Source organism: Homo sapiens, chromosome 4, assembly GCF_000001405.40.
Source record: "Homo sapiens chromosome 4, GRCh38.p14 Primary Assembly".
Classification (NCBI taxonomy): Eukaryota; Metazoa; Chordata; class Mammalia; order Primates; family Hominidae; genus Homo; species Homo sapiens.
This window is the reverse complement of record NC_000004.12, coordinates 186,802,427-186,812,928: the sequence shown is the minus strand read 5'-3', so window position 1 is coordinate 186,812,928 and position 10,502 is coordinate 186,802,427. Positions and strand designations below refer to the sequence as shown.

Genomic DNA, 10,502 nt, shown 5'->3' with positions numbered 1-10,502 from the left:
CTCAGGTTGCCAGTTTTCTCCCTTGGATTAGACAAGTTTTCAACCTGTCAGGCTTCTTCTACCTGTGACATCTACAAGTTTATGGCTAACTGACCCCTTACCATGTTGGTCTTCTCTGAGCATCCTGCTGTTTGCAGTTTACCTGCACTTTGGCTTCCATTCTGAAATGTGATGAAATGTGTATGTTATCCCTCATTTTGCCTTTATGCACTTCACCCTCCTAGCTCTCTTCTTATGGTGTGTTGTTCCCATCCTGTAGCAATTTCATTCTCATGATATAAAAAACAGAACCTGTTTTTTACAGGAATATCTGCTTGTTCTGACAAGGATTCTCAAGAGGACTCCACTTAATTCAAAGGTACAGGCTAAAATGATGATATTCCAGGCATGCTTCATGACAGTAAAGCAGGGTGAATATTTGGGGGCAGAGGTATGGCTTTCAGTGTCCTGTAGGCCCCATCATGCATGTGGCATTCCAGGTTTTTTTGTTGTTGTTTTACTGGTATCACTGATATGGATAGAGACAGGGAAATACTGGGTAGAAGAGGGCAGTTCTCTGACAAAGGCCCCACCCTCAAGCCTGGAGACCCACAGCCCTAAATGGAGATAGGCATTCCTGTTTTTGTGCCCAAAAAGTTGTCTGTTGGCCCACCACGCCCCGCTATCCTGTACCCATATAAACCCCAAACCCCAGGCTTCAGAAGCAAAGGAGGAGAAGAGGAGGCAAGCAGATGAACAGTGCAGCAGAGAAAAAGAGAAGAGAAGGAATGTCTGAACGACAAGAGGAATTCAGCTGGGGGGCAGTCAGAGAGGAATTCAGCTGCTGGACAGCCAAACTCCAGGGGAAGATCACCTTCCCACTCCATCCACCTTTCAGCTCCCCATCCATCCCACTGAGAGCCACCTCCACCACTCAATAAAACCCCTACATTCATCCTTCAAGTTCATGTGTGGTCTGATTCTTCTGGGATGCTGGACAAGAGCTCGGGATATAGAAAGCCATCACACAGGTCCTCTGCCTTTGCAGAAGGGCAGTGGGGGCACTGAGCTGGTTAACACTTAAGCCATCTGCGGAAGACAGAGCTAAAAGGGCATTGTAACACTGGGGTCTGGGGTCACAAGCACACAGCCCTAGAGACTACCACGGGGCTGCAGCCCAAAGTGCTCACCCTGGCTCCTGCACCTGGCGGTCTGTGTGCTCCCTCTCCCACAAGGGGTTTGAGCTCATGGTGGTCGAATAGAGAGCCGCACCCCTGTCATCCACCCTGTGCAGGTGGGGGGAGGGCAGGGAACTCTCCTGTTTCATCACACTCAAAAACAAGATGTATAAAATTATCATTGGTCTCAAGTCTGTGATTGATATGTATATATCTGCCCATGTGTTTTTTACTATGTCTATATTTATTTGTTAAAAGTAGATGTGGTACACAACAAATGTATAGAATCTTTATTTGTTAATTAAGAAGCTGAAAAAAATTGCAGTGTGGTATGCAGCAAATAACCAACTGGACGTTAGAAAATTGGATGACACAAGGCCTTCCTCTACCTCTTGGCAGATTGACCTTTCATACAAGATTTAATTACTTGGACCCTAGTTTCCTAATTTATAAACAAGAAGGATTGATTCACATCTTGCTTAGTTCATAGAATTGCTGTGAGAATACAAATTGAGATGTCATATTTACTTTCTAAAATATAAAGGATTATATAATGCAACATATCATTAACACTTAATTTACTTGGTCTTCACTTCTGAGAGGATGTGGTAGGTTATGAGAGGCCAATGCTTCTGCTGCAAAAGCAGAAAACAAATTTTTTAAATAATATTTTTATAAAGATGTCAGAGAGCTATGGAAACAACAAAGAGTAAAGCAACTAAAATTCCAGAGATGAAGAACTGTTGTGAGGAGATCTGCTGATAGTCATTTTTGTTCCCTAAGGGTATTTGCTGATTCTAGCCTCAGGCTTAGTATAGGGTATGGCCCAATCAGAGATCATTATCTTGGAAAAGAAAAGCCACCAAAGCATTTAGCAGTTGTATAGAGCCAGAGGACAAATTGGAAAACTGGAAGGGAGGAGCCAGAAACACACTACTGTTTTACCTCCTGGGACGTTCGTTGAATGTTGAGGTTGCGCAGGAGGCTGTAAAGCTAAGCCTATTGTCCTCAGAAGCAGAATGGATCTCCTGCAGTTTCATAGTGTTTAAGAAACACTCATGCCAGGGGAGAGAACTGCCTCAAGGGCATGATTAGTCTCTCTTGAGATTTTTGCCATTTCTTGAAGTTTCATGGAAAAGGTGGCCTGAGAGCTGGGCTGGGAACTTTCAAAGTACAGATCTGGATCTCTTGCAGTCTTTTTGGACTAAAAAGAAGAACAACTAACAAATTCCACTCAAAATACCATGAGGACCATATTTGAAGAAGAGCAGCAAGTAAGATATAGACTGAATTTTACTAACACTGCAACCCAGTCCCAACCCAATTCAATCTGTGATTGAATTGAATTTATAATCCTCTTACTCTATTTCTATCTGCCTGCACAACGGCAGAAGATAAAGTCATCTGGAACTTCTGTAATTATTTTCTTCACAATATGCAGCATAAAATCAAAAATTACTAGGCATATGAGAACCAAGAAAATATGATCGATAATCAAGAAGAAAAAATAAGACAATTGATGCAGCCCCACAGATTATTTCAATATTGGAGTTGGCAAATACTTTTATAATAACTATGATATATATATTTTTAAAGGTAGAGATGTACACAACAGAAGTGCATAGATATATTCACCAAAAAACATGTACACTAATATCTGTAGTAGCACTACTCATAATCATTAAAACTAAAAACTACCCAAGAAATAGAAGAATGAATAGAAAAATTGTGATATATTCACACAATAAAATACATACAGCAATGAAACTTAACAATAGAAAGCTACTCATAGTAACACAGATGGATCTAATAAACGTAATGTCAAGAGAAAGAATCCAGATACCAAATAATACATTTTCTGTAAATCAATTCATATAAGGTAACAAAGTCAAAATTAATCTATAATTTAGAAATAAAGATAGTGGCTACTACAGGGATGAGGAGAAAAGAAATACAAGCAGAGATCCTCAGATGCTGGTAATATATTATGTTTCTTGATGTAGGGACTGGATACTACAGTGAAAATTGTAAAATTCATCAAGCTGTATACATTTAGAATATGTGCACTTTTAAAATGAAATTCAATAGTTTTTAAAAATAAATAAATAAATATATCTGTTAAATCCTACAAAAATTCCCAAACTAAATATAGTCGTATGCCACATAAGGACTTTCAGTCAAGATGGACCACATATATGATGATGGTCTCATAAGATTATAATAGAGCTGAAAACTTCCTATTGCCTAGTGACGTGAGGCAAAGCATTATTCATGTATTTGTGGTGATGTTGGTGTCAACAAACCTACTGTGTTCCCAGTTGTATAAAATTCTAGCCCATACAATTATTATATAGTACATAACACTAGATAATAATAATAAATGACTATGTCACTGGCTTATGGATTTACCAAAAAAACTTAACTGTGAAACAACCTCAGGCAGGCCCTTCAGGAGGTATCCAAGAAGGCACTGTTGTCATGGGAGCTGACAGCTCCATGCGTGTTATCGCCCCTGAAGCCCTCCCAGTGGGACAAGATCTGGAGGTGGAAGGCAGTGATATTCATGATCCTGACCCCATGCAGGCCTAGGCTAATGTGTGTGTTTGTGTCTTAGTTTTTAAACAAATAATTTAAAAAGTAAAAATAAAAATAGAAAATTTTAAACAGTCAAAAGCTTATCAAATAAGGATATAAAGAAAAAATACTTTTGTACAGCTGTACAGTATATTTGTGTTTTAAGCTAAGTGTTCTTAAAAGCGTTTTAAGTGTTATCAAAAGGTTTTTTAAAAATAAAAGTATATCAAGTTTAACAAGCTGCAGTAAACTAAGGTTAATTTATTATTGAAGAAAGAAACTGTTTTATAATTTAGTGCAGCCTAAGTGTACAGCATTCATAAAGTCCACAGTGGTGCGTAGTCATGTCTGAGGCCTTCACCTCCACACACCACCCACGCACTGACTCACCCAGAGCCACTTCCAGTCCTGCAAGCTCCACTCGTGGTAAGCTCCCCATACAGATGTACAACTTTTTCTTTTATACTGTATTTTTACGGTATCTTTTCTACGTTTAGATATACAAATACAAACCGTTGTATTACAATTGCCTAGAGTGTAGAGTCACCTGCTGTGCAGGTGTATAGTCTAGGAGCAACAGGCTGTACCATATGGCCCAGGTGTGGAGGAGGCTGTGCCGTCTAGGTCTGTATAAGTGCACTCTATGCTGTCCACACAACGGCAAAATTGCTTGGTGCTGCATTTCTCAGAACGTATCTCTGCTGTTAGGTGATGCCTGACTGTATATGTAAGTATGTAGACACAGCCTAATTACCCAGAGAATTGACTTATTACCTAAGTATTCTGTGGAAAAATTTCATCTGGAACAACTTTCCAAAGGCAACATCAGAGGTTTTAATCTACCAAAGCCAGCCATTTTTTCAAACCACAATGTCCCGCCTCCCTTCTAGTTCTTCATTATTTGATAAAAATCTCCCATGATTCTTCCTTTTCCAAAAATGTTTTCTCATGCCAAGGCATTCCTTGTTGTGCAGTAAGACACTCCTTTAAAACTGTTAAAATTTTACAGGAAATTCTAGCTCATGGCCAAATTTGTTTCAGAATGTCTAGAAGGTAAATGGCAACACAGAGATGAATTTTTCTCCAAAGTACTTGAACTTCATCATTTTGCCTGGCACTGTAATCCTCAACTAATAGCCTCTAACTGAAAATCATCCATTCGTAACACCGTGAAAGGATTCTGTTACCCCAGTTGCAGCTGGCTTGATCTGGATCTGCAAGAACTTGTTGACACTATGTCAGAAATTCCTCCTATCAGGGATATCTAACTCTTTACGGGGTCAGCACTTACATGTATTCACTTATTTCAGGTGAACAATATAGTTAAACCTGAAATGCTCACACACTTCAGCAATTTTCAAAGATTATTTATATATACATATGTGTGTGTATGTATACACATATATTTAGACAGTCATATACATATTCTACTAAAACATTCATTCCGAAAAAACATGAGTGGTAGCTTTCCCATAAATACTACCACGTGCTTGTTTTTTCATAAAACACTTAATGCATTTGAAAAAGCTGCACTGTATCTTTAATTAAAAATATTAATAGACATGCTTCCACAAAAAAAGATGCATGAGAATATTCTCAGACTTAATGTGTATATGAGCTGTTTTTCATTACACTGCTTTAAAAGTCATATTTCTTAGGTCGGTAATATTTTAAGGTAAAACAACATGTAAGTAAATGTAAGGGTGACTAGCTGCAGCACGTATTGTAGAATCTGTATTCTATTAGCAGGGTCATTGCCAGGTTCCTTTGTGATTAAAACTACTGGCCCATCTCTTTTTGTTCCAAAGCTGAGGAAGATAATTTACTAGGTCATAAATGTAAAGGTCATCAGATCTAAGACCGTACAAATGAGCAAAGGCAGCCAGAAATTCCCTCAAAACAAGCATGGCTGTGATGAGATCACAAGCACACAAGCAAGAGAAAGTGCTGGGGCCATGTTACGTATTTACAGTTTCATCATTAAATGAAAATGCTGTTTTACATCCAAATGCAGTTTTGTGCTGAAGTAGTGTAAAGAACATCTCTGTGAATACGTAAACACAATTAACAAACACACCGTTGTCCATCACTCAGTAACCTGTGTCGCTTGTTTTTTCCATTACAAAAACTGTAGCTTAGGAACTGAAAGCCCAAATCATAGTTCTTTGCTGTAGCTGCTATAGGGATAAGTCTGTGGCAAAATACATTCCTTAATCTGTCTCCCATTAGCAGGCTTATTAGCAGATTTTACAAACTGCAGTTATAAGCTTGTTCTCCAATTCCTTTTCTTCCTTCTGTATATGAAAGTATCATTTATCAATGTCGTCCATCTTCAAGTTTTCAAACGTCAAGCTTAAAAGTCAAGCCTCATTTGAAAGAAAAGATACACATTGTAAAATCTTTCCTTATGTTTCAAAAGTATAATTTTCTTTGGAGCCAGAACAAAATGCCTATGGACTGTAGAGGAATTTTCAACACTTGATACTTCATAGAAATGGGGAAAATGCAAACTGCAAGAGTTAGGTAATTTGTTGAATGTTTGCAAACTGTCTTTGCAACATTAGAAAAACAATGTGGACAACTTTCCAGAAAATGTCCTTTGGAAACAAGTGTAAGCTTAAAAAACATATTTTTGCTACCTGGCAAAGAAAACAATAGCTTTGCCCTAATAAGTGCAGTTCCATATAAATCTCTCAGTTTCAATTAGTCACAACTGATCACAACTTACAATGTATTATCCTAGTACATCCACTACTGAGTTTGGATTATATTTCCCTACAAACTTAAAAATGCAATAAAAAGTGGCCTTGATTTAGATTCTGCCTGATTCATGGAATGACAAAAACTAACCTTGAAAAATTTAATACAAATTTTAGATACATAATTTTTTAAATACGAGGCTGAAACAAATAGTATTTTTCCCTTTTGGAACACATTCATTTGGGTTTACATTTTTTTTTTGTTTTTTTTAAGACAGAGTTTTACTCTTTCACCCAGGCTGGAGTGCAGTGGTGGGATCTTGGCTCACTGCAATCTCTGCCTCCCAGGTTCAAGCGATTCTCCTGTCTCAGCCTCCTGAGTAGCTGGATTTACAGGCACACGCCACCACACCTGGCTAATTTTTATATTTTTAGTAGGGACAGGGTTTCACCATGTTGGCTAGGCTGGTCTCAAACTCCTGACCTCAGGTGATCCATCCGCCTCGGCCTCCCAAAGTGCTGGGATCAGGCCAGCCTAAATGTTATATCTTAAAATGTATTTTTAAATCCTTGAGATTGTGGAATTATCTTTGTAAGACATAATTATTTTATACAACTGAATAACCAGTGTTATAAGAAAAGTTCATTGTAAACAAGTGTAAGATATATTGACATTTATTTTTAATTTCAGACAATGGAAAAATTTATACAACTTCTTCAGAGTGAGTTGTCAACTTCAAATGCATTGTGAGATTTTGCTGTTGTTGTTGTTTGAAGCGACAAGAATACAAAGTTCATGTTTAATGTCACAGTTAATGATTGATTTCTAGCCTTGACAAATTCTTTTCTTCTTACTCTCTTTTCTCTGGTGTCTCCAACTTTGAAGTGGCTCCTTTATAAAACCAAGTGAAAATGTACGAGGCTCCCTGCAAGTACTAAGCCTCTTCTGGAAGATTTCTTCTGTTTTACATAGGACAATACATTCTTATCCCTCATTAATTCTAATAAACTAAGGCAGGTGGTTGGCCTTCTCAAAGGTCTTGCTTTAAAAATATAACAAAACCTGTGTCTACACATACCAAATCAAGTGGAGAATTAAGCTACCTTCAGTTGAACTTAACTAATAGGGGCTGCCAACCTCAATTATTTAGAGAAAAAAAAATACTTTCTCCAACAGACGATAAGATTTGTCTTAAATTAACCGGATTGGGGGTCGGCAAACTGTGACTCACAGGCTGCAACTGGCCCACTGTCTGTTTTAATAAAGTTTTATTGGAACACATCCTTGCTCATTCATTTGCATATTGTCTAAGGCTGCCGTCCTGATACAATAGCACAGTTGAGTAGCTTTGACAGACCAAATTGCCTCTTCAAATGTTTACTTTCTAGACTTTTACAGAAAGTTTGCCAATTCCTGATTCTGATAAATGTCTCATTTCTTCACTTCATATTTTGCATCCACAAAAGTAGCCAAAAGCATGGAAAAAAACCCATTGGGCAGCTTAAACTAAACATGTGTTTTGTTGAATTTCTGTGAGTCTTTATTTTAAAGAAGATGTGGATTATATTTTAATATAAGTCCTGATCAAAATGTTTTACCTCCACATCTTCTTTATATCAAAACAAGTCCTGATCAAAATGATTAATGAAGGTATATCTACCTATTTGACTCTGGTTTTGCTAGAGCCTCAAAGGGCACATGAAAACACTCTCCCTGAAAACGGTATCTTGCTCCGTTAGAAGTATTTGTTGCTTTGATATGTGTGTTTTTTCTTTAATTGCTGCAGGGATTTGAACTGCAGGTGAATCAAAATTTAAAATTCTGAGCATTTTGCAAACTTGTCATTATGCATGCTACAGGCAAGTTAGTGGATTTAGTTATGCCAATGATTGCGAAGATACATTATTGCTGCATTATAATGCATAAACAGGTTTTATGTTCTTCTGCATAATATTAGAAACTCAAATTTATGGAGTCACAGAGCTGTTATCATCATCCAGTTTTTAAATAAGGTAGCAATTCGTGATTTATATTACACATAAAGAAGTTTCCTTGTCAAGGTGCTTGCAGATTCTTGGCATATTATCTGGATAAATGATATGAGCCTTTGATGTGGTCATTAGGAATTATTTGCGTTCACGGTTTTTTAAAAAGTGTTTTTGTTGTTTTTAATCTCAGGTAACACCTATTCCTTCTGAACAAATTTTGGTTGTTGAGATTATCCACTTGAATAGTTTTTACATCAAAACCTTTAAAATCATAATATGTACAAGAAGATCTAAGCATTGTGCAGCAACCGCATTAACTCTATAGCAAGACAGCACACCAGAGGTTGTGTTTAATTAGGTTTCCTAATTAAAGAACACACGTTCACCTAGGAAGAAATCTTGCCAAAAAAAAATGAACTTGGATTTGATCTTATCCCTATATACAATTTTCAGAAAATACAGACGGCAAAGGAACAAGGTAAATGGCTTGATGGGACTGCAACTCCCTGTCTCCAGATTGGTGGAAACTTTACAGGGTAACCATCCAGTTTCCTAACCAAGTAAATTTCAAGGGGAAAAAGGGAAGTAAAGTAGAATCTATAGATTAATAAAGACGAAGAAAGCAGGCACTTACAGTGTGTATACCTTATTTGGGTCTAGACTCAAACAAACAAAAATATATTCATGACGTTTAAGAGAATTAGAAATGTGAGGCTTGGCTAGGTATACAATGAAAAAATTATTGTTAATCTTTAAATGCCATAAAAGTATTGTTGTTAGCATAAAGATATTGTTGTGGTTGTGTTGAGTTTTTTTTTTTTTTTAAGAATTTTCATCTTTAGGGACACAGCTAAAATTTTGAGGATGAAATGATAATGGATGCTTAGGATTTACTTCAAAATAATAATAATTTAAATACTAAAATAAAAAATAATAAGGGAAGGAGTAAGGGGGGGTAAAATGAAACTAGATTGTAATGAAATAATAAATGTTGACACTGGAGGATGGGCACTTTAAGGTTTATTATGCTGTATCCACTTTTGTATATATCTTAAATTTCCATAATAAAGAGTTAATATATATATGGGATATGTTTCTTTATTATTATTTTTGCCAATTATTGGTAATAAAAGTAATAGCTATAAGTAATTTATTTAAATATAGAATTCCAGTATTAGCTTAAAGAAAAAAATTCAGTCTGATTAGCAGTAATCAATAGATTTTTTTTTTAGAAAACTAAGCAGTTTCATTTAATAAAGTTTGAGAAGTGTAGGATCGATGGTTATTTGTTCACTTCCAGTATGACTTTGTATTTTGTCTTTAAAACTTAAAATCCTTTACACAATCCTACATAAATTTTATTCAAATAACACTTTCTCTGGGTCTTCTGTGTGAAGGGCAGGTTCGCTTGAGTTCCAGTGGACCAAGCTCCACGTCTTTCTTCTCCATTTCTTCCCCGGGAAGGGAAGAGTGTCTCTGCCCGGGGTTTATGCCGAAACCACCACAGAGAACACACACAACTCTGTGCTCCACTTCATACACTTGCATTCTATTTTCAAATCTAATAAACTATTATCCCCACTCCTCTTGTAGGCTGCTTGTTAAAACTTACCTACTATGCAAGCTCACCCTGCCTCCCCTGAGAAAGTTTTCTGCGAATGTTCTTTCTTATAGTCACAAGGTGAAATGAATCTGTCATGAACAAACACACACACCAAGAACAAAAATGTTGACATTGATAATTCAGCTCGTGTCCAATAAAGTCAACTAAAGAGAAAGATATTTTCATTATTTCAGAAAAAATGTATTATGACAGATTTGACATATGCAAAACAGTAAGGAAGGCTTTTTACCATGCTCCAAAACTTAATTAACAAGGATATAGTTATCATGCCTTCTTTTTCCCATTTTTTTCCCTCTTGTGAACATAACTTTTGGACTTCTCTATTAATCCTCTTGGCCATAATTTTCATGGTTTAAGGTCTAAATGTTTTTCTAGAAAGAATCCATCCAAGTTAATACAAATGTAAAGCTACAGTCTTCTGTGTCAGGACAACAAGCAGGTGAGTGACCATCTGCTTCC

The 10,502-nt window shown here is 36.7% G+C and overlaps 2 annotated features.

Moving 5' to 3' along the window:
* Positions 1,829–2,536: an enhancer, noted in NCBI's record as "NANOG hESC enhancer chr4:187731547-187732254 (GRCh37/hg19 assembly coordinates)". NCBI's record gives its function as "activates a minimal SCP1, AML or CMV promoter by ChIP-STARR-seq in naive H9 embryonic stem cells {active_cell/tissue: H9 hESC(naive)}" and the evidence as "EXISTENCE:reporter gene assay evidence [ECO:0000049][PMID:30033119]".
* Positions 3,980–4,274: an enhancer, noted in NCBI's record as "tiled region #4557; K562 Activating DNase matched - State 5:Enh". NCBI's record gives its function as "activates a minimal TATA promoter and a strong SV40 promoter by Sharpr-MPRA in K562 cells {active_cell/tissue: K562}" and the evidence as "EXISTENCE:reporter gene assay evidence [ECO:0000049][PMID:27701403]".